Raw genomic sequence first — 22,235 nt, 5'->3', positions numbered from 1 at the left:
GCCAAAGCTGTTTCCATTGTTTGATCTTCCATGAGAATCAAAACTTGCCAAACCATCATGTAAAGATGTTACCTTAACACTTTTTGTTGGAACCATGCATTTTTGGACAGTGTATTCCTCCCTGCCCCAGTCACCCCCACCAGTTATATTTTTAGTTACTTATCTGGGGGTGAAACTGGCACATATACAACTCTTTTCCCTGCCACAATTCTCAGAGGATAGGTATTATTATTCCAGATGAGGAAACTGGGGCTCAGAGAAGGCCTGTCACCGGCTTCTGGTGACACAGCTAGGAAATCAGAGGGCCAGGATTTGAACCCAGCTCCACAGGCCCTTTGTGCTGCTAGGTTGTGGGTCCTCCCCAGACTCCTCTCCCAGAGCCCCTCCAGCCCTCCTGGGCTCATTCTTCTGCTCTGGAGCAGATGGGGCCCTTCTCGGCTGCTTAGGGGTGTTTTGAGAAGGATATGAATGGGCTTTGTCACGTTTGAGAGGTTTTCATGAGACCCAGAGCCAGAGATACTGAAATTCCTGGGAGGGGTGGCATTTGCAAGGGCAAATTAATGATGAGTAGAATGAGGTGATACCCTTCTACCCACCTGCTGGCGAGGTAGCCTGGCCTAAACCTAGGACCCAGGGGATGAGCCCAGGGCCTGGCTGCCTGCCAGGTCGCCCACCTTTACTGACCCAAGATCCAAAAGATTCTTGGTTCTTCTGTGTTTGGCTCTGAGTGATGGTTTCATTCTTGCCATCTGCACCTCTCTGAGTTTTTATCTCTCTGGCAGCTCTCTAGGGTGGGGAAGTCCTTCTATCAGTCTGCCCTCACTGCTACCTCCTGGCCTTGTCTTTTTTACCCTGGACTGGATGGTGGGTATGAGAGGTTTGCTGCCCTGGTACCTGCTATCTGCTGAGGTGTGTTTTATTGGGGCCCTAAAAAGGCAGGAGCCACCAGGCCAGTGCTGCCACCTCTTTTCCTCGTGGCAGATCCAAGAGGATACAGTTCACAAAGCAAAGCAGGCTTTGGCTCTAATGGGGTCCCCTTTGGGTTTTATCTGATACCCACACTGCCTGAGTGTCCCACCCAGGCAGTGTGGGTATCAAGTAAAACTGCTGAGGCCTGGGGAGGGGCAGTGACCTGCCTAGAGTTAGAGGCAGAGGAGGTAGATAGCAGAGAATCAGAGCCTGGGCATCCTGAGCCCAGAGCCAGCCCCCTGCCACCTACTCATTCCCAGACACTTTTCAGGAGTGTGGTTTAGAAGGGATGGGGTGATTATCTGACTGTGCCTCCCACACTGCAGATGGAAGGCCTGGAGATCTAAGGTCATTCACACAGGCCTCATGAGGACCTGCAGCACATTGTCCAGGATTCACTTTGCAGGATGCCCTTTAGGGTCACTTGCCATCATAGCTCCCCGCTCACCCCCACTCATTTTTAAAATGTGGCCTAATTTACAAACATCTCAGTGCTTTAAGCACTTCAGGAAGAAACACCTCTATTTGTGAAGCACCGTGACAAATCCTCGACTCCTCGTTTTTTTCTTAGCACATTTAAGAAAATCTGTTCCACCCTAGAGCTCTAGGCTGGTGAGGCTAGGAGGCACCTTAGGGTTATCCATTCTGATTCCCTTTTCTGGAAATGGAAAACTAAGGACCAGAGAGGAGGAGGCAGCGGGGCACAGACAGGAACGGAGGTGGGAGGAGGCTGAGATCTGCGTGCTGGTCAGGATGACCGTGGCAGGTTCTTGTTGGGCCCTGTTAGTTGCTCATCCAGAGGAGCTCACCACAGTCACTGCGACAGACTGCCACACTCACCCTGGCCTGGCCTCAGAGAAGTTGAGCTACTGGCCTCAGTTCACACAGAGCAGATGGAGGAAGAGCTGGCACTAGGACCCAGGGGGCAGGGGGGAGCCTCCCTGGCTGGAAGGGATGGCAGGAGCGCTGGTGCAGGTAGCTATGGAGCTCTGGCCAACTCTGCCTGGGGAGGTAAGAGAGCCCAGAGCCCTGGGCCAGATGCTCTTGAGAGCCTAGTCTAGTCCATAGCAGGTGTGCGTGTGTGCGTGCATGTGTGTGTGTGTGTACACGCGCGTTGTGTGCATGCTGAGAAGGGGTGCTGGTGGACAAGGGCCAGAGTGTGGGGCTGGAGGGAGTCCCGGTTCAAGCTCCCAGGTAGGAGTGAGACTGGGGTGGAGATTTTGCCCACATCTGGCCAGCTTGTGAACCTTGAGCCTTGTGGGTTGGATCGGCTTCCTGCTGGGTTTGCACAGCCCAGTGGGAATGGGGTTGGGTGTGTGTAGGCTTGGTGTGCCTCTAGCTTGGTGGGGGATGCAAGCTGTGGGCATCTCTGAGCTGCTGTGGGGCTGTCATCCCTGCGAGTTAGTCTCTTGATTGTCATGGGGGTGTGTGCCCATCTTTGGATCTCTGGGGTATTGCATGGGGGCGTCTCTGGGTTGTTCTGGGGACAGCGTGCCTGTGTGTAAATACTGTAGGTTGTTGCAGAGGTGTGTACCTGTGAGTATGGGAGGTGGTGGAGAGAAGGGGTTCACCGTTAACTTCCAGAATTCCTCTTCTTGCACCTCGTGGCCCTTCCTCGCAGAGCCCACTCTGTCTTGGCATCTCCTCACCCCTTTCCCTGTCCCCGCTGGGGACTTGCCCCTCGCGCGCAGGGTCCCCTCCCAGGGCCGGCGGGGGCGGGCGCTAGGACCCTGCGGGGTGGGGCGGGGCGGGGCTCGGAGATCCGTCAGCTTCACCTCCGCAGCCTGGAAAATCCCGAGCCGCGGCCGCCGAGCCCCCGAGCCCCCGAGCCCCCAGCCTAGCCGGGAGGGGCGCGCGGGGCTGGGGCCCGGGGCGGGGCCGGGCGGCGGGACCCACTGCTCCTCCCACCAGAGCCCCCGCGCGGCCCCGGGTCTCCCGGGCAGCTGCGGCGGCGGCGCTGGCACCCCGGCCCCGGCGGGCCCCGGCGGAGCGGCGGGCAAAGGTGAGCAGCCCGGCCTGGAGGGCGCCCCTCCTGCCCCGCCACCCGCCCCGCGCCCGCCCGGCGTCGCTGCGAGTTAGTTGAGCAGGTCGCTCCGCGGGCCCCGCCGCACCGTCCCTCCCCTCGGGTCCCGGCCAGTCCCTGGGTCCCGACGGGCGCCCGCCGGCCACCGCGTCCCATACGCAGTCCCCACGCCGGCCCCAGGGGGTCTGGGGCGCTCCTCGGGAGGGGGACCCCGAGGCTGTCCAGCGCCCGTCCGCCCTTCCCTGGGGCCAGCCCCTACCTCTCTCCAGCTCCCCACCCGCCAGGACCCCGAACAGCCCCACCCGCGCCCCCAGCGCACTGATTCCCGTCCCCAAACCGGTCTTGCAGGTCCCAGGAAGGTGGCGTCAGCATCTGCAGCCGCGTCGACGTTGTCGGAGCCTCCGCGGAGGACCCAGGAGAGCCGGACTAGGACCAGGGCCCTGGGCCTCCCCACACTCCCCATGGAGAAGCTGGCGGCCTCTACAGAGCCCCAAGGGCCTCGGCCGGTCCTGGGCCGTGAGAGTGTCCAGGTGCCCGATGACCAAGACTTTCGCAGCTTCCGGTCAGAGTGTGAGGCTGAGGTGGGCTGGAACCTGACCTATAGCAGGGCTGGGGTGTCTGTCTGGGTGCAGGCTGTGGAGATGGATCGGACGCTGCACAAGATCAAGGTAGGGTTGCCCGCTATACCTGCAGCCTCCACTGCACCCTTACTGCCTCTCTCCCGGAGTCTCCTGGTCCTCTCTCCGGGCTAGACACCTGGCTGTATATCTGGGCCCAGAGAGAGTCTCCTTCCAGGGACCGGGAGGAGACACAGTCTGCTGGGCCAAGCCCCATCACACAGATGGGCCAACCGAGGCCTGGAGAGCAGGAGTGACTCACCCTGCCTCTCTCAGCTGGAACCCAGGCTTCTGCATGCCCCTGCCTGTTCCAGGGATCTGGGCTGCTGCCAGGCCCTTCTAGGAGAGTGGTCTCCCTCAGGGACCCCTCTGCTGGGGAAGCCTGCACCTGGTTCCTGACTTGAGTTACTCCAGGTGGGAGACTGGGCCCTTCTCTCCCTGATTCCTGGTTCTCAGCCTGAGCTGGGTCTCCTTCCCCGCTTTCTGCACCCTGGGTTGCCCAGGACCCGATTCCTTACTGCCCGATGCCCTGCTCTTGCTCTTTCCCTTCCCTCCCTCCCTGGCTGCTCCCTTAGCCTCCTGCAGGGACTCAGGATTGTGGCTGGCAGATCCTGAAGGCAGGGCTCCAATACCCCTGCCTTGCACAGAGCCAGGCTACAGGTGGGCTGGGGAAGGAAGGGGCCTGGGGTCAAGGGAAGCCAACATAGGGAGCAGTTGCAGACACATCAGTCGCTCACAGCCATCTCCCCTGCTCTTCCCAACCCCACAATTCTCCTCTCTTTGCCGTGCAGGGCAGGCTTGGGGTTTGGGACCCTGGGAACGCATATCCCCCAGGGGACCAGATGGGGCAGGGGCTCGTGAAGACTCTGGTTTAAGGGCCTCAATAGCTGCCCCCAACACATCTGATGTTGCTGTGGGTGCTGCATTTCCAGGGCTGGTAGGTCCCCTTGCAATGGGCTCTGGCAATAGGCTGTGCCCTTCGCCTTCCTCTTCCTTGCCTTCTCCCTTCTGCTATCCTCCTGGAAATGTGGAGGAGTCCACCCTCCCCTTCTGCCTGGGACCTAGTCTCAGACTTAGTTCAGGCATGTATCTTGGCCCCTTACCAAGACCTGAGATGTCTGACCTTTCCCCTCTGACCCTGAGCCCTTCTGCCTCACTTTGTCTTAATCATTTACATATAGTTCTGTCCATCCCCACACGATTATCTGCTTTTCACTTTCTGCCTCCCCTTCTCCCCTCTGACTCTGTCTGCACCTTGGCCATCTGACTGTTTTTCCCTCTGGGTTTCCATGTGTGTCTCCCACTTTGGGATTCGCTGCCCAGGGCCTCAGAACCTGTGTCTGAGCCTGAGGAGCAGGGATGGGGAAGGCAGCTGGCATGTCCCAGCTGGTTGTTCCCTGAGAGCAGGGACAGGTCTCCTATCCTTTTTTCTTTTTTTTTTGAGAAGCCTCACTCTGTCTCTCAGGCTGAAGTGTAGTAGCGAGATCTTAGCTCACTGCAATCTCCACCTCCCAGGTTCAAGTGATTCTCCTGCCTCCCAGCAGTAGCTGGGACTGCTGGTGCACACCACCACACTCAGCTAATTTTTGTATTTGTAGTAGAGATAGGGTTTCACCACATTGGCCAGGCTGGTCTTGAACTCCTGACCTCAAGTGATCCACCCGCTTCAGCCTCTCAGGTCCTGTCCTCTTTGCGTCCCCAGCATCCAACACAGTTAGAGCAGGGATATTGGTGGAAGAGAGGGGGGAGGAAAGAACCAAGGAACAAATTGAATGAAAGGTGAGAAGGGAATTCACGAGAGCCTGACTGTGACCTGGGAAAGGCTTCAGGCGGGCAGTGCACACTGGGGGAGAAGTGTAGTTTCCCCACCAAGCTGGCACTCCAGAAAGTCAGAGGAGGAGGGGTCTGAACTGAGGCCAGTACTCCCACCCTCTGTGTCAATAGGGCGGAGCTACCTCCTCCATCTGGCTTGGTTAATGAATAAACCCTACCCAGCCCAGGCCTGGAATTGGTGGGTCTGGGGCCAGGCTGACTGCAACAGACCACTCGTGGCCAGATCAGACTTGTCAGGTGGCCTTCCTTGTGGGTGGCGGGGACTTGGAAAAACTGGGGTGTTGTAGGCTTCTGGACAGGCATACACCCTGGGCAGCCAGGACCCTACCCTCCTTTTCTTTCAGACTGAACAGATGTTGGAGGTGCCAAAGAGCCCTTGGTAATCCCTATGTCATACCCCTCCTGCCCCTGGGATGCAGGCAAGGATACTGGGGCTCAGAGAGGGGCAGGGACCTGCCTAGAGTCACACAGCTGTCTCAGCAGAGCTGGGTCTGGAACCCAGATCTACAGCATCTTGGCAGTCCTCCTGCCTTGCTTCTCCCTGCAGGGTGCCTCCCCAGCTTTGCTCCCTACAATGGAGAGAGGGTGGGGAGAGGAGGTGAGCAGAGCCCAGACCCAGGAAGGAGGCTGGGACCCTGGTTATGGGCACCCCAAGGTGCCAGCTCCCACTCCTGATCCTCTCAGCACAGCTAGTTGGAGCTCTGGGAGAGATGGACAGAGGCCTGTGAGCTTCCCATCCCCAAGATTGCAGGACTCCCAGGTTCCATGCAGATAATCCCATTTCTGATAATGAGAGCCCTGCTCTGAGCCAAGCATTTCTCCCCATCATCTAATTTACCCCGAGGCTAGTCTGGGGCAGTGTAGTCTTGTCTCTGTGTTACAAACAAAGAAACTGAGGCTGAGTGAGGTAATGTTATTTGCCTAAGGTCATGCCACAGCTGAGGCAAGAGTGGAACCCATGCCAGCCTGGCTCCAGAGCCCCTGCCCCTCTCCACATGGGCTCGCATCTTAGTCAACACTGTGGCCTTTAACCCCATCAATAACTCTTTGAAGGCCTGGAGGACGCGTTGTTCTCATCATCCTATTCTTGTTTGATGGATGAGAAAGCCGAGGCCCACAAAGGGGAGTGGCTTGCCAAGGTCACCCAGCAGGTCTGGAGCCAGAATCCCTGGGGATGACTGGGTCACTCCAGGAGGCTGGGACTCAACTGCAGGTGTTTGCTGAGCTTCTGCCCCCCTTTCCCCCTCCCCTCTCCTGCCTCAGCCTGCTCTGGGCCTGTCCCCAGAGCTGGGAAAGCCAGCTGACCCCTGGACATGCCCCGTGCTCCTGATCCCAGGGTGGGGGTGGGACTCCACCTAGCTATCTACCTGATTCAATTCCTCTTCCTCATCTCTCTTCCCCTTACCTGGGTCCAGAGGTCCCTGGAAGCCACTGTGGCTCAAGGCCCAGTAGTTGGAGCCAGGACAAAGAGAAAGGGGCTGTTGGAGGCCACCTCCACCCCTTCCCTCCCTCCTGGCCTCCAGCCTGACCTGGCCCCAGGGCTGCACTGTGCTCTGAATACTGGAAAAGAGACAGACACTACCTCCTGACAGTTCAGTCCCTGTCCCAGGGACAGATGCTGAATGTGGATCCTGGGTACAAGGCAGGGGGCAGCTTGGAGCCTGAACTCAGGTCTCTCAAAGCCCAGGTCAGCTTCCTCATGGCACCTGTATTGGTGTGAGAAACGGGAGACCAAGAGCTTCTGTCAGTCATTCAACCAGGGCCAGCTGGGGTCCAGTCCTGGCTGTTGCATGTGACCTTGGGCACATTCCTGCCCCTCTCTGGGCTGCTTGCCCGTCTGTGCCATTGGGCCCTCTTGGCTCCAAGAGCCTCTGAACTCAGCACCCAGCTGGGGAGAGATGAGGAGCAGGCAGACAGCAGAGGACGTGGCCTGTGAGGCCCTGGCCTGGATGCTCACGTGCTCTGTTCTCCTGAGGCTGGCCGCATGAGAGGCAGGGGAGACCTGCGTATCTCCTCAGAGGTCTTCAGACCCTGGTGGAGAGAGGACAGACAGTTCCAGGTGACCTCCTACCCACTGCACAGGCAGCCTTGGGGCAGGAATGAGGCCTGATAAGAGCCTGAGCCCATGACAGGAGAGACCTGGCCCTGGAGCAGGTGTGGGAGGGGGTGTGGCTGAGAGCCTGAGGCTCTGCTGGCCACAGGAAGCTGGGCAGTGGGGACCTGTCTCCTCTGACTTCCTGTCCTGCTGCTCCTCCCCTTCCCCTTTGGGAAAAGCTCAGGCGGCCCCTCCCAGCCCTGTCTCACTGTCCACCTACCCCACACCACAGGCCACCTGGGTTCCAGACACCAAAGCCAGTGCTCAGCTCATGACCCCTCAGCACCTCACCCTCTCACCCTATGAAATGCCAGATGGCTCAGGGGTCTCCAAGGCCCTTCCCACTCTTACTAGTCTCTGGGACTTAAAAGGGTCATGGGGAAGGTCAGGGCCACGTGTGGGACAGGTCTCCTTAATCCCATCAAGCAGATGTGGAAACTGAGGCTCAGAGCAGGAATTCACTTGTGCACAGCCAAACAGCCGGACATGGCTGAAGCTAGATCAGGACCTAGGTCCTTGACTCGCCAAGGCTGAGATCTCGCCACTCCCTTGGGCTGGGTTATTAACATGATTGGGCCCGTGGGTCTCCCTGTGCTGTGTCATTGTGGGAGGGCACCTTAGAGGAGACCCAGCTGGGCAAGAGTCCAGTCCTCACTATGTGACTTTGGGGGTCATTTCACCTTTCTGGGTCAGTCTTCTTATCGGCGGTGGCAGGCGCATGACTTCATCTAGTTTTAGGGCCTTGGACTGGGTCAGTTCAGGCTCTAGCTTGGCTCTGCCTGCTGTGGGGCACAGTTTCCCCATACAGGAAGTTGCTGGGCAGGTGGTCTGTAGAGGCTGTCCTAACCTTAGGCCAGCGTAGGGGAGGCTGCCCTGCTGGACACAGAGTGAGGATGGTGGCTAAGGTCTTGCCAGTCTATGCCATCAGAGAGGTCCCTAGAAGGGGATCCAGAATCCAGGGTTAGGCCCTGAGCTGCCTGGTTCCAGCTCTGACTTGGCATGGGGGGACCTGGAAGAAGTAGTTCCAGAGCTGTCCTTGGGGAACAGGCTCCCAGAGAGCATGACCCCAGGTAGTCAGTGTCTAGACTTTGGGTTGGAGGAGCTCAGACAAGGGAAAGATCAGAGGTGGCTGGAGGTGTTAGGGAAGTCTTCCTGGAGGAGGTGCCTGGTTTGGGTTGAGGATGTTGGGGAAAGAACACCAGGATCCAGAGTCCTCGCTGTGTGGCCCTGGGCAAGTTCTCTGCCTGGGACTCAGCTTCCTTATCTGCCCTGCCTGTCTTCAGAGACTTCATTCATTCACACATTCAGCAAGCATCCATCATTACCCTCTTTCTGCTTGGCCCTGTGCTGGAGGTGGGGGATGGAGAGGGCAATCAGATCCAAGCCCTGCCCTCAAGGAGCCTCCAGCTGGGTGCTGAGACACACACTTGTCACAGGAGCTCTGGAAATCCAGAGAGGGCATCTGAATCAGCCTTGGGGGTCAGGGAAGGAACTCCACGGAGGAGGAATGTTCAGGTGATCCTTTTGGGTGGGGAATGAAGATTACAAGTTTGATCGTGTCGGGAGCATTCCATACAGAGCAGCAGCTGTGCAAAGGCCCAGAGGTGGATCACAGGGTAGTACATTTGGAGAATGGGAGGTGGTTCAGTGCAGGCTCAGAACTCAGGGGGCTGGAGGTGATTAGAGAGCTAGACCGAGGCCCCACGCCTTGAGTCTTAGAGGCTCTGGGGTGCCAGGGGAAGGTTTTAGACAGGGAGACTGGTAAGAGGGCGCTGCTGCTGTATTTGTCTGGGCAGAGGTGCCAAGGCCCACCTTAAAGCCAGGTTGTGGGGAATGGAGCAAGGGATGGAATCCAGAGAGCCTTAGGCATGATCATGGACGGGATATGATGGTTATAGCATAACTCTTTGCGATGTGCGCACTGTGAAGTGTTGTGCAGGCTGGGATGCAGGACGGCATGGATGTACAGCCATCCTGTACATGGATGGGGCCTGCATCCTAAGCAGGCCAAGGAACCCTTATGAGCCAGAGTGGAGTGGAGGGTGCCTCCAGGCTGTGTCCCTGCTGGGACTAGAGAAGCCCTCAGCCCCCAGGCTGGCTCTGTGCCCTCCACACCCAGCTGCCCAGGCTCCCGCTTTTAAACTTTAACGAGCCCCAGCTCAGTTTCCAGCCGAGAGTCTTTAAAGTTTCAGGAGATGAGAGAAAGGGAGTCCTGGAGACAGATGGGTTTTCTTTCTTCCCCTGCATCTCCATGCCTGGCTGGGCCACTTGGAGCCAGGGCTGTGGATGCCGTGACCCCAGAGGCCTGTGCTCTGTGGGGCTCCGGGGCCTCTGCGGGGCTGTTCCAGTTTGTTCCCGAGGAGCAGGAGACCTGGCCTGGGTGCCTGGTTGCCACTGAGGATAGATGGGGATAGAAACCTTATTTCAGCCCCGATCCCTCACCTTTGCCCCTGACTGGGCAGATGGTGGTGCTCTGGCAACAGGTTGGGGAAAGCAGCTCAGACTACGTGTTGGGCTTGAGACAGCCCCACCCCTCCTGGTGCCTCCCTTCATCCCCTCTGGCATGCTTGGACTGGCCTTGATGCCCTGGGGCCCCTGGAGACTCAAAAGTATGGGCAGCAGAGGGTACCATGCCAATCACAGTAGATTCCTTTCACCTGTCTTTAAAGAGAGCCTGGGGCAGGTGGCACGGGGCAGGTGGCACAGGGCAGCTGGAGCTGTTCTCTGGGGCTTTAGCATAACCATTGCCTTCCTGCCCCTCAGCCTGGGCTCCCTGAAGGCAGGTACTTGCCACCTCTGATGCTTCTCTGGAATCCTATGTCCTGGGGTCAGTGAGCAATGTCTGCACATATATACTGCCTCCTGCTGCCTAATGGGAAGTAGGGGGTGACTGCCACCTCTGCTCTCCCCTTTGGTGCCTGAGCCATTTACTCATCCTTGGGTTTTGTTACCACCTCCATCTCCCCCGGCTTCCTGAGATCCCCTCCACCATCTCCTGCCCCTGCCTGCCGTCTTTGGACCCTGCCAGAGTGGCTGGGGCCTGGTACTTTGCCAGAGAGGTGATGAGTCTTGAGGTAGAGGCCTGATAGCCAGAAGGATGGAGTTCCCTTGTGTGTCTCCACTTGCATACATGCATGCATTCATTCATTGCTTCAGTATGTTTATTGAGGACATACTATGTTCCAAGGATTGTGTCATATCTAGGAATTTAGGGGCAAACCACACAGATCAGACCCTGCTGTCATGGGTTTTACATCCTGAACGGGTGACGAGCAAAATAGAAGCAAACAACTAAATAAGACACCAGATGATGGTTGTGCATAAGGACGAGATAACGTGATAGGGATTGAGGATTCTGTTGGGGCCTTCGTGTGTGGAGCTGAATTGTGGGTGACTGTGTGTGTGATGTGGCCCTTAGTCTGGCAGACACTGAGCTCCTCAGGGGCAGGTGCTGGGTTTCCCATCTCCCCCCTTCCTACCCACGTGACAGCCCCGGGACAGGGGCCTGACAGGGTCAGTCAATCTGTGTTGAAGGTATGTGCGCCTGTGCCTGTGAGTGAGACTCTGTGTGTGTTTCTGTGTCTGGCGTTACTCTGTGTGTGTGAGTCACACCCCCTCACTGCAGAAGCAGAGTTGTCTGTGATCCAATTATGTCTCCTCAGCTGTCTCCTGGCAGCTCCCGCCCCTGGCTCAGCTCTGACTGTGCTGTGGTTTCCCCTTCTGAAGCCCCCTGTCCTGCCTCCAGGGGCCCCAGGGCATCAAGGCCAGTCCAAGCATGCCAGAGGGGATAGAGGGAGGTACCAAGAGGGGTGCAGCCACCTCAAGCCTGTCTCTGGGTCTCAAGGTCTTCCCTTTGGGGTGTGTTTTCTATCCATCTCTGTTCCCCTGTCCCTTAATGGTTACTGGCTGTGTCCTTAATGTCTCTACTGGTGACTTTGTTCCTGTGTCTTAAGGTTACTCTGTCCTTAATATTTATACTGGTCATGTTGTTCCTGTCCCGGTTGTTTATTCATTCAACAAACCTCTTCTCATGCCTCCCACCCATCCTGCCAGCCACCTGGAGATATCAGACCTGGGTCCTGCTCTTAAGAGACTCAAGGCCTCATGGGGAGACACATGGAGACAGTGACAGCCTTTTGTGAGCAGTGTGGGGACAGAGACATATACTCAGGCTGAGTGAGTATATGACTGGCAGCATGGTTGGGGGACGGTACAGGGGCTTCTCCAGGAGCTGGTGTTTGGATGGGGCCTCAGGGGACCAGCAGGATAAAGCAACAAGCTGAGAAAGTCTTGGTGAGTTGGTCAGGGAGGTAGGCTCCCCTGTGGCAGGGGTTCAGGGATAACAGTGAGGAAAAGAAGAGGCAGAACCAGGGTGGGGAGGACATTTTGGAGTTTAGATTTTATCCTGATGGCAGAGAAAGAGAGAGAGAGAGATAGACAGACAGACAGACAGCAGAAGCTTTCAGGCTGGGAAGAGCCATTACCAGCTCTGGGTTTTAAAAAGCTCCCTGGCCACAGAGGACAGAGAAGAGGATGTGGCTACAGGGGTCCAAGTAAGGATGGTGAGGCCTGTCTGGGCAGTGAAGAGGGGCTGCTGGGAAGGTTGTGGCCGAGTGGAATCCAACGGGCAGAGTTGGCTAGAGGTTGAGAGTAAGAGCATAAGGGACAAGTCCAGAGCCATGCCCACTATGACAACGCTGGGCACAGGGAGAACCATGCCCCCTATGGCAGCGCCAGGCACAGGGAGAACCGTGCCCACTGTGGCTATGGCAGCACTGGGCACAGGGAGAGCCATGCCCACTATGGCAGCACCGGGCACAGGGAGAACCGTGCCCACTATGGCAGCACCGGGCACAGGGGAGCCATGCCCACTATGGCTATGGCAGCGCTGTGCACAGGGAGAACCATGCCCCCTATGGCAGCACCGGGCACAGGGAGAACCATGCCCACTATGGCAGTGCCAGGCACAGGGAGAACCGTGACTGCTATGGCAGCGCTAAGCATGGGGAGCGGGAGACATCCGTGGGCTGCCCAGGGTGTGGTGCTCTGGGGGCTGTTGGGGATGAAGCCTGGAACTTTACTGGAGAGCTCTGGGGGCGTCAGTCCACTGGTGATCCCGGAAGCCCTGGGAGGCTTTTTGCCTCTTTGTGTTTGCCTGTCTTGATGTCTGAAGTCAGCCCTGGCCTCTGTGTTGTCCCACTGGCATCCCCTACCCCTTCCCTTTTCTTCTAGGTCCTCCACTCTCTGCCTCCCTTTCTCAGCTCTCCCTTCTCTGTCTGGCTCCCCCTCGCCCCCCCAGGATAGAAGTGGAGAGGTACAGGGCAGGAGGCCAGCCTCTGCAACGTTCATCACTGCTGCAGAGCTGGGCCTGCTGCTCTGGAGCCTGGAGGTGGAGGTGGGGGTGGAGGTCCAGGGAGGCTGCTGGGGACCAGGGAGGGAAGGGGGAAAGAGGCAGAGCAGGGATGAGTCACTCAGCCCTGCATGGAGAGCGGCGGAGAAGGCCTAGCTCAGTCTGCTCAGGGAGCTCTGTCTGGGTGAGACATGGTAACATCTCTACTCTCCACTACAGTCTCAGGGGTTCCACTTTTGGGAAGAAGATGAGTTGGAGGTAGCTGCTGCCAGATCCCCTTCACTTCACAGGAGAGGGCCATAGGGATTGCCTGGTCATTTTGCAGGTGGGAATACTGAGTCCAAAGATGGGGCAAGGAGACCCTGCATTGGGCCCACACCACTGTGCTCTGTGTCCTTCCAACCCCCATGCCAGCTCTAGGCAAGCCAGCCCCAACATCCCCTGAACTCCACACACACCCTCAAAAGCCCTAGCTCCCAGCATGGACTTGTCAGGGATTGTCCTCCTCTGGCCAGGTGCTGGCCCACCTGATTCCTTGGGTCCTACACAGAACAGAGCCTAGTTCTGAGGGAATAGTCTCAGGGATGGACTTTGGATCACGCTGGGGGTTCCAACCTGGTTCCTCCACTTCACTTTTCTGAGCCACCATTTACCAATGAGTATAATTGTCCCTCCTCCCAGATAGTTGAGAGGATAGAATTCAGTGAATTTATTATACCAACCTCTTAGCACAGAGCCTGGCACAGAGCCACACACCATCCACATTTGCTGAGAATGGATGAATGAATGAACAGGTCCCTAAAGGACAGCTCCATTTCCCACTTTTGTGCTTGTTCACCTGGGTTACCTTGTGGCACTGCATTGATCCTTCTCCTTCCCCCAACCAGTCCATGCCGTTTCTAGTTCTCAGGCCATCACCTCTGCCGGGAGCCCCTTCCCCCTCCCTTTCATCTGGGTGCCGTCTCCTCTCCTGGTCATCTTTTAGGATCCAGCTTAGATGTCCCTCCCTCTACCTGCATTTCTGGCTTCCCTTTGTGCCTTCCTTGAACCTAAAGAGTTGTCATTGTCTGTGCCTGCAAGCCCTGCCAGACAACGCAGAGTGTTCCCAGGTTAACTCAGCATCAGATGGGTAGTCTCAGGCCCCAACTCAGCTGAGTCCCAGCTTTCAGGTCCAGGGAGTAAGGAGTTGGGGTTCTGGGCAATGCATTTAATTAGGAAGAAAAAAAGTAAGGCTGGGTGTGGTGGCTCACGCCTGTAATCCTAACACTTTGAGAGGCTGAGATGGGTGGATCACTTGAGGCCAGGAGTTTGAGACCATTCTGGCCAACATGGCGAAACCCCATCTCTACTAAAAATACAAAAATTAGCCGGGCGCGATGGCACACACCTGTAATCCCAGCTACTCAGGTGGCTGAGGTACGAGAATCCTTGAGCCTGGGAGGCAGAGGTTGCAGTGAGCCAAGATAGTGCCACTGCACTCCAGCCTGGGCGACAGAGCCAAACTCTGTCTCAAAAAAAATAATTCTTTTAAAAAAGTGATTTTTATCTCTTGTATAAATGATACTGTAGCACCAGTAATGAGAATCCAAAAAAGAAAAATAAAGATAAATCATCCGGAGCCTCAGTTCCCTGAGTAGAACTTTTTCTTGGTTCCTTCCAGCTCTCATTCAAAGGTGTAGAGTTTGTTCATAGTTTAAACCATGTCACGGGTACTAGTTTGTATCCTGTTTTGTTTATTTAATCTTGCTCTGTAGAAGTTTCTCATATTGCTACAGAATTATTAATGCAGGAACATTTCTGGCAGCTGTTCCCTATAGGCCTGTCTGGGTTCTGAAGGTGCAGAGCTAGCTCAGTGGCCACCCCTGCTCGGGGGAACCCTCCACCCTCTGTGATGTGCGTCATCATTAGGGTGATGTCACTCTTACCCGAACTGGGGCTGCTGCTGGTAGTGTTCAGGTGGTTCTCCAGTATAATTTGCTAATTGCAAATTCAATAATATACTCATGAATATTGTAACATAACTTTTTTTCTTATTTTATATTTTTTTCTGAGTACAAATTTGTAGTCCTGGGATTCTGGGAACTGAATTGAAAAATACATTTTTGGTGGGGTGCAGTGGCTCACACCTGCAATCCCAGCACTTTGAGAGGCTGAGGTGGGAGGATCGCTTAAGCCCAGGAATTTGAGACCAGCCTGGGCAACATGACAAAACCCCATCTCTACAAAAAATACAAAAATTAGCCAGGCGTGGTGGCACACACCTGTAGTCCCAGCTACTGGGACAGTGAACTGTGATCACCACAGTGGACCAAGAAAGAAAGAGAAATTTCTTTTTAAATCATTCTTATGATTTAAAAAGTATTTGCCAAATTATTTTCTAGAATAATGGAACCAATTTTTGCTGCCACTAACTGTGTAACAGTTTTACCATACCTTCATAAGCAGTGAGTACCTCATAAGCAGTGAGTACCTCATAAGCAGTGAGTATTTTATATATTTTTGGTAATTTACTGAGCATAAATCGGTACCTCAGTACAATTTTACTTTACTTTTCTTTGACTGTCAGGACTATTAAAGATCTTAAAGCAAGTCCCAGAATCTCCCCTGAACCTGTCTCTTGGTATTTCTGACGCCTCATGCCTCCACCCCCCAGCCCTTTACCCCTTTTTAAGAGGATGATGGCGGAAGTAGTAATAGTAGTTGTCCTTGTGTTATAGAGATCTACAAGAGTTCAGGGATTTTCACGGCTGCACCTCCTTCTGAATTATACAGATGCACTGAGGGCCACGGACCAGGGCTCCAGCATTCTAAAAGTCAGAGAAACCCACACAGGCTCAGCCTCTTTGTTGGCTTACCTGCCCATCCCTCCATTCAGGAACAGCTCCTTATTGAGCGCCTGCTGTAGGCCAGGCCCCCTGCAAGGCATGGAGGATGCCAAGATGAGCAAGGGGCCACAGCATTGCAGGCAAATGAATGCATGACAACGCATGCTGAGGGGGGAGCTGCTGGGGGTCTAGGAGACAAGGAAAGGTGGCCTCCAGCCCATACTGGAGAGTTTAGGGATAGGGCAGGCTGCCTGGACAGGGGGCAGCCAGTCTGAAGTTTGAAGACATATTGAAGACATAATAGGAAGGGAGCTAGTGAGAGGAAGTCCTGGGAAAGCATTCTGGGCAGTGCTGGAGGAGGAGGTGCCTCAGCACCCCTCATGACAGCACTGAGCAGACCTCTCTCCTTCCCCTCTTCCCCTGAACCCTCAGGTCTGTGCCCTGGCGCAGCTCTTGGGATTTTTTTGGGGGGCGGGGGGAGTGTAAAGTGAAGGGTCTTGGTGGTCTCCATTTTGGGGGCCCCAGAAACCCAGAGGCAAGAGGCAGGTGCTCCATCAGCTTGGCCTGATGCTTGCCTTGTGGGGGCCTCAGGGAAGGGCAGAGTGGAGGGCCCTGAAGCCAGCAGCTGGTGTGTGGGTCATGGGAGGAGAAGCAGGAGCAGAAAGAGCAGAGGGGCACTGGCGCTGGGGCTCGGACCTGCTGTGTACTGTGGGCCAGGCTTTGCATCTCTCAGAGCCTCCTCTCCTGGTCCAGCATGGTGAGGGCAGGGCCTGGCTGTGGGCTGTGAGGGTAGAGGGGCCATCTGTGTGGGGTGTGAGAGAGCTGCCCACCCCCTCGCTGTGCACTCACGCTGTGGAGGGATCTTGGCATTTTTGTTATTTTAAACTTTGTTCCTTGTTGTCCTTGTGTGTCCTGTCCTTTGGGGGTTAGTGGGAGGTGTTCCCCCAGGGCAGGGCCTGAGAAATCAGGGAAAGTTGCTGGGGCCTGGGGCTGGAGGAGGGGCAGCTACTGCCAAGGGTTTTAGGGACCAATCTCATCTAATCCTTACAGGACCACTCTGAGGAGAGGATTATCTCTGCTTGACAGATGAGATGTTGGGGCTCAGAGTTCTTTGCCCAAGCCAAGGCCACACAGCTGGGACATGGCAGGGCAGAGGTCTGTCTGACACAGATGGACCAGCACTGCTGTATGAACTCTGGGCCTGCAGGCGACAGGTGCTTCAGGTTTGGAGCCCCAGCACTGGGTTCTGGAAAATCTGGAACTTGGGTCAGGAGCTTTGTTTGGAGGAGGAATCTGTGAGCTTTGCCTCCCTGGTCAGCAAAGTGCTGCATTATAACCATCAACTAAGGCAGCCTCCAGTTGCCAGGGTGTTTGTTTTAGCTGGGCCAGTCCTGCCCCTTGGTGAAGGTAGCAGAAAGTCCTGACACTGTAGGGTCAGTCACACCTGGACTCTGGTTCTCTGCTTCACTACTGTTAGCTGTGTGGATTGTACCTCCCTGGGCCTCAGTTTCAGCATCTGTAAAATGGGGGCGATGCTTCCTTCTGGGGTGTTGGAAGGGTCAGAGGCAATATCTGCAAAGGATGCAGCTCTGTGCCCTTGACAGCTGGCAGAGGTGGTTTGAGCTAAATTTCAGCCCCTGTGGGGTCCATGGTCCAGGTGCCCCTGTCTCCTTTGCGGGGTGCTGAATGGTCAGTGATTTCGAGCAATGGTAATGGTTATGGAGGTTGGGGCTGTTGTTCAGGGCTGTGATTGATTTGATACTTTGTGCCCCACCCCATCAGGAATTCTTCCTCTCATTTGAATATGGTTCTGTTGGGAAAGGGTGATTTGCTTAACAGTTACTCTCATCACAAAACTATCTGCTGAAATGCAATGTATGGAGAAGTTAGAACAGCCTGTGGGATATTTCAGAGCCCAACTGAAGCCAGGTTTCCCCAGTGGTCACCTGAAGGGTTCTGAGTGAAGAGATCATTTCCTGGGTCCCTAGGACTTTGGGATAATCTGTGTGCCCCACATATCCCATGGGCAAGGATACTGGCGTCCTGCTGTGTAAGGTCTTGGAGGGAGGATTAGCCTTAGGTCCACCTGTCTGTGTGTGTGTCTGCTTGTAACTGCCTGGGCCTTTGGCTCTCAAGGCCAGGACGTGGCCCCATGGAGGGGACCTGACTTCCTTTCCCATCTCAGGTCGACCATCTCCCTGGGTCTTGGGAGAGACTGCTGCCCCTCCCTGGAGTGGAGAGTCCACCTTCTCTAATGCTCAGCACTGGCAAGACATCCCAGAGAACACAGTCAGGGGGCGGGAGAGAGGTGGGGGGTAGAGTGAGATACAGCTTGGGCACTGGACCCTGCACTGTACTTGTTTGTTTAAGCCTCCAGGCCTTTGCACCACTCGTCCCCCTGCTGAAATGCCCTTTCCTGCCCCTCAGTGGCTCAGGGCCTTATCCTTTTGGGCTCAGGTGCACTCTACCATGCAGTTCATGTGCATTCGCCTCTCCTAGCCCTGCTCGTGCTATCTTGAGGTTTTGTGTCCCTGTCCCTTACCACTCTACTTGGCGGAACCTCTTTGGGGCAGGGCTCAGGTCTGGTTCACCGCCGGTCTCCCACCACACAGTTGCACACAGGTCTGGCACACAGCAGGCTTCAGAGAATGGTGAAAGGATGAATGGAAGGGCAGGGCAGGGTGAGATGTGGGAGGCACCCAGGGTACATAGTATCTGCAAATGCAGCCTAGTCCTGGCCACGTGGAAGGGTGCATGGCTACTCACGGAAACCCACTGGAGTAATAATAGCTACTATTTTTTTTTTTAAAGACTAGTCAAATGCAGTAGTGAGAAGGGGGAAAACAGTAGAACAAGGAGTTCGATCTGTAACTTACTGTGAATAATCAATTGAGATCACTCACTACATTTGGACCAGCCAATAGCTACTCTTTTTTTCTGTTTTGAGTTAGTCTCACTCTGTCACCCAGGCTGGAGTGCAGTGGTATGATCTCAGCTCACTGCAACCTCCTCCTTCTGGGTTTAAGTGATTCTTGTGTCTCAGCCTTCCGAGTAGCTGGGATTACAGGTGTGCGCCACGACACCCAGCTAATTTTTTTTTTTTTTTGTATTTTTAGTAGAGACAGGTTTTCACCATGTTGGTCAGGCTGGTCTCGAACTCCTGACCTCAAATGATCCACCCGCCTCGGCCTCCCGAAGTGCTGGGATTACAGGTGAGAGCCACTGTGCCCGGCCTATTTTTGAGTATTTACTACGCGCTAGGCATATTACATGCGTTATCTCATTTAATCACAACATCCCCATGAGATAGCTGCTATTATTATTTCCATTTTTCACATGAGGAAATGAAGACTCCTAAGCATTAACTCTTGTGCCCAGGAGACAGAGCTGGGATTGAGCCTGGGATTGCCAGCCTCAAAGCCTGTGTGGGTCTTTCCTGCGCCTTGCTTGTTCAGTCCCTTCTGATTGTGGCTTCATGGGAATTGGGGAGCTGTGGAGTGCAGTGCTGGTCCCAGGGGTTCTCGGGAATCCCGGTTTTTCACCTTGAGAACTTGAGGGGGTTTGGAGAGTGGAGTGCCTGGGACACAGCCTGTAGTTTCTCTGGTGTCACTTGCTCCCCCTGGCCTCAGTTTTCTTTTTCTTTTCTTTTTGTTTTTGAGACAGAGTTTTGCTGTTGTTGCCTGGGCTGGAGTGCAATGGCACAATCTTGGTTCACTGCAACCTCCGCCTCTCGGGTTCAAGCGATTCTCCTGCCTCAGCCTCCTGAGTAGCTGGGATTACAGGCATGTGCCACCACCCCGGCTAATTTTGTATTTTTAGTAGAGATGGGGTTTCTTCATGTTAGTCAGGCTGGTCTTGAACTCCCAACCTCAGGTGATCTGCCCGCCTCGGCCTCCCGAAGTGCTAGGATTACAGGAGTGAGCCACCGCACCTGGCTGGCCTGTTTTCTCAAATGTAATACCACTGCATGTCGGGGTCCCTGCTGTCACCAGGCTTTAAACGTACTCAAGCCCAGCATGGCTCCTTGGTGGAGCAACACCCCTTGGGTTCCTGTTTCCAGGGGGAGTTTCTCCGGGGGCAGCCAAGATGGCCTACCAGGCAACACCTGACGGCAACATCTGGTGTGGACACTCACTCAGCCAGGGCCTAATAGCTGGGGGTTCCTGGTACCGGCCCGCCCACCTGGTGCTCTCCAGAGACTCAGCCCTACCCCGCCACCTGTCCCTCCCCAAGCCTCTTAGAATTACACCTTTGGGGCGTGGCCACCGCCGCCCGCAGGAACAAAGATGGGTGTAATTTCTTCTGCTTAGCGCAGCAGTGCTGCCTGCTGGGGGCTATGGAAAGGGCACGAGCCAGGCCAGGCTAGGGAGGCCTGTGGACACTTACCTGACCCCCACGACCCGGCCTGCCTCAGTTTCTTCACCTGCGCTGCCACAGCAAAGGTTCTTACTCTCTGGGCAGAGGCCTTCCTCCACAAGAGTCTGCCACTAGCCTGGGAAACCTTTGAAGTTTCTCTTTATGAGATAAAGTGCTACTCAGAGTTTACGCTGAGCAACTGGTCTGTCTCGTGGCTCTGCATGCTCCGGCCACTGTCCTCTGTCCCAGAGGTGGGTCTTTGGCCTCTGGAGCCTCAACAGCCCTGCTCTGGGAGCCTCTGGAAGGAGGATGGGGCAGCATGGGCCCCTTCCCAGTGTGCATTCAGCTGCTTTGCAGCTGGGCCCTGGGAGCACTGAGCCTGGCTAGGGAAGAGGCAGTCCCAGGTTGGATTCTAACCTGGGAAGCAGGGTTTTGTTGTCACTGCCCCTCCATCCACTCATGGTCCAGGATAACATGTTTGAAGATTTGCAGAGCCAACTAGCATCCAAATTTGGATTTAGAGAAATTCTGGTTTCCTCAGAAGCCACGCTTGAGTGCTCTTTGATGGTTAAGAACACAGGGAGATCCGATTTTGAGTCCCTGCTCTGCTGCTTTCAGGCCCTATGATCTGGGCAAGTTGCTGAATCCCCCAAGCTTCAGTTTTCTATTTTTCAGTGCAGGAATAATAACAGCGACCACCAGCTAGGTTTAGGGTGAAGAATGAGTGCGTGTTGAACATTTGGGGCAGTGCCTGGACCTCCCTGTGGCCGCTTAGGAGGCTGTTTGGATGCTAACGATGATGCCAGATCCGGCCTCTGTCTTCTTCAACCCCCTTTCTCACCATCGCGTTCCTCCCTTCACTTTGTTCCTTCATTCATTCACTCAGTCACTCACATCTCATTAGTCTCCTCAGTCTAATGTAGTTCTCTCTGTGACTGTCATGATCCTGACACTTATAGGCCAATTATTTTATAAAATGAGACAAGCCCTCATTCTGGGTTTGTCTGAGGTTCCCTTGTGATTCTATTTATGTTATGTCTCTGTGGCAGAGGTAGCACAGAAGTGATACCTGTATTCCTCTCACTGTGTCCTACCAGGCAACACCTGACAGCAACTTGTCCTGTGATTAATGAGATTCCCTTTGATCACTTGATTAAGGTGCTATTTGCCAGGCTTCTCTACTATGAAGTGACTAATTTTCCCTTTGTAATTAATAAGTATTTTGATGGGAAGTTACTTTAAAACTATGTAAATCCCCCATTCCTCATCAAACATTCCATTTACTTGTTTATTCATACCTGTATAGACTTTGGTTTCCTATTTTATTCGATGGAATATCTACAGTTATGGTCATTATTGAGTTTAATATGCAGCTTATCTCAGATTGAGCCCATGGTAGAGTGATCAACTGTCCTAGCTTGCCTGGGACTGGGGGATTTCCCAGGATGTGAGACTTGCAGTGGTAAAACTGGGGAAGTCCTCGGTAAACCTTGAAGAGTTGGCCACTGTGCCAGGGGAAGAGCCCTTCAAGCTGGTTCCGGTGTCCAAAATCTCTATCATTCTTTGAGTATTTGCTTACTTCCTGGCACAAGAAGATGTTCCATGCTCATCTTATACTTTCTCTGACCCAGCCCTGGAATCACCCATTTTTCCAAGAAGACCTAGAACCAGGGACCTTTTGAGTAGCAGGCTATACCACACCACGGAGACTGAGCCAGATGGAACTCATTCACTGCCCACAGGCCACACTCTTGCCTGCCTCTGCACCTTGGCTGGCTGTTCTTTCTGCCAGGGGCACTTGGCAAACCCCTACCTCCTGCACTGAGATTCTCCATGAAGCCTGATCCCCCGACCCAGCCCATGGAGCTGATTTCCTTCTTATGCCCCCAATGAGCACTTTAGGACATCTCCCCATTTCCAAGGTGGGCTCCTCCTTTCACTGCAGACCTCTCAAAGACAGGCCTCGAATTCATCTCTGACTCTTCTGGGCTCAGTACAGGGCTGGAGCTGGGGGCTGCTGATTAAATGGTTGGATCTAGTTATGCCCCATTATAGAGCAGAAAGGTAAATGGGGTAGAAAGGGAGGGTGAATTGTTTAGGGTGACACAAACAATATTGCAGTCTCGAGTCTGTCCTTGAACCTTGTTTTTCTTAATCCTATAATGGG

The 22,235-nt window shown here is 54.8% G+C and overlaps 1 protein-coding gene and 1 non-coding gene across 2 annotated transcripts in view, besides 5 other annotated features; one reads left to right on the top strand and one right to left on the bottom strand.

Moving 5' to 3' along the window:
* The window catches only part of STARD10 (StAR related lipid transfer domain containing 10), a 39,319-nt gene that overhangs the window by 9,413 nt on the left and 7,671 nt on the right, over window positions 1-22,235 (top strand). Inside the window, exon 2 of the mRNA NM_006645.3 lies at window positions 3,341-3,660. Coding sequence (NP_006636.2) covers window positions 3,454-3,660 — 207 coding nt within the window. The 5' untranslated portion in view covers window positions 3,341-3,453. The remainder of the gene's footprint in view (window positions 1-3,340; window positions 3,661-22,235) is intronic.
* On the bottom strand, window positions 1,043-1,105 carry MIR4692 (microRNA 4692). The gene has a single exon (NR_039841.1). It is a non-coding gene; the product is annotated as a microRNA 4692 (primary transcript).
* Window positions 1,594-2,296: an enhancer, noted in NCBI's record as "H3K4me1 hESC enhancer chr11:72493384-72494086 (GRCh37/hg19 assembly coordinates)". NCBI's record gives its function as "activates a minimal SCP1, AML or CMV promoter by ChIP-STARR-seq in naive H9 embryonic stem cells {active_cell/tissue: H9 hESC(naive)}" and the evidence as "EXISTENCE:reporter gene assay evidence [ECO:0000049][PMID:30033119]".
* Window positions 2,645-2,764: a silencer, noted in NCBI's record as "silent region_3728". NCBI's record gives its function as "represses an Ori minimal core promoter by ATAC-STARR-seq in GM12878 lymphoblastoid cells {active_cell/tissue: GM12878}" and the evidence as "EXISTENCE:reporter gene assay evidence [ECO:0000049][PMID:35858748]".
* Window positions 2,985-3,164: a silencer, noted in NCBI's record as "silent region_3727". NCBI's record gives its function as "represses an Ori minimal core promoter by ATAC-STARR-seq in GM12878 lymphoblastoid cells {active_cell/tissue: GM12878}" and the evidence as "EXISTENCE:reporter gene assay evidence [ECO:0000049][PMID:35858748]".
* Window positions 9,372-9,871: an enhancer, noted in NCBI's record as "H3K4me1 hESC enhancer chr11:72485809-72486308 (GRCh37/hg19 assembly coordinates)". NCBI's record gives its function as "activates a minimal SCP1, AML or CMV promoter by ChIP-STARR-seq in primed H9 embryonic stem cells {active_cell/tissue: H9 hESC(primed)}" and the evidence as "EXISTENCE:reporter gene assay evidence [ECO:0000049][PMID:30033119]".
* Window positions 21,573-21,782: an enhancer, noted in NCBI's record as "active region_5204". NCBI's record gives its function as "activates an Ori minimal core promoter by ATAC-STARR-seq in GM12878 lymphoblastoid cells {active_cell/tissue: GM12878}" and the evidence as "EXISTENCE:reporter gene assay evidence [ECO:0000049][PMID:35858748]".

The sequence above is a fragment of the Homo sapiens genome, chromosome 11 (assembly GCF_000001405.40).
Source record: "Homo sapiens chromosome 11, GRCh38.p14 Primary Assembly".
NCBI classification, from domain to species: Eukaryota; Metazoa; Chordata; class Mammalia; order Primates; family Hominidae; genus Homo; species Homo sapiens.
This window is presented reverse-complemented; position numbering and strand designations above follow the sequence as displayed.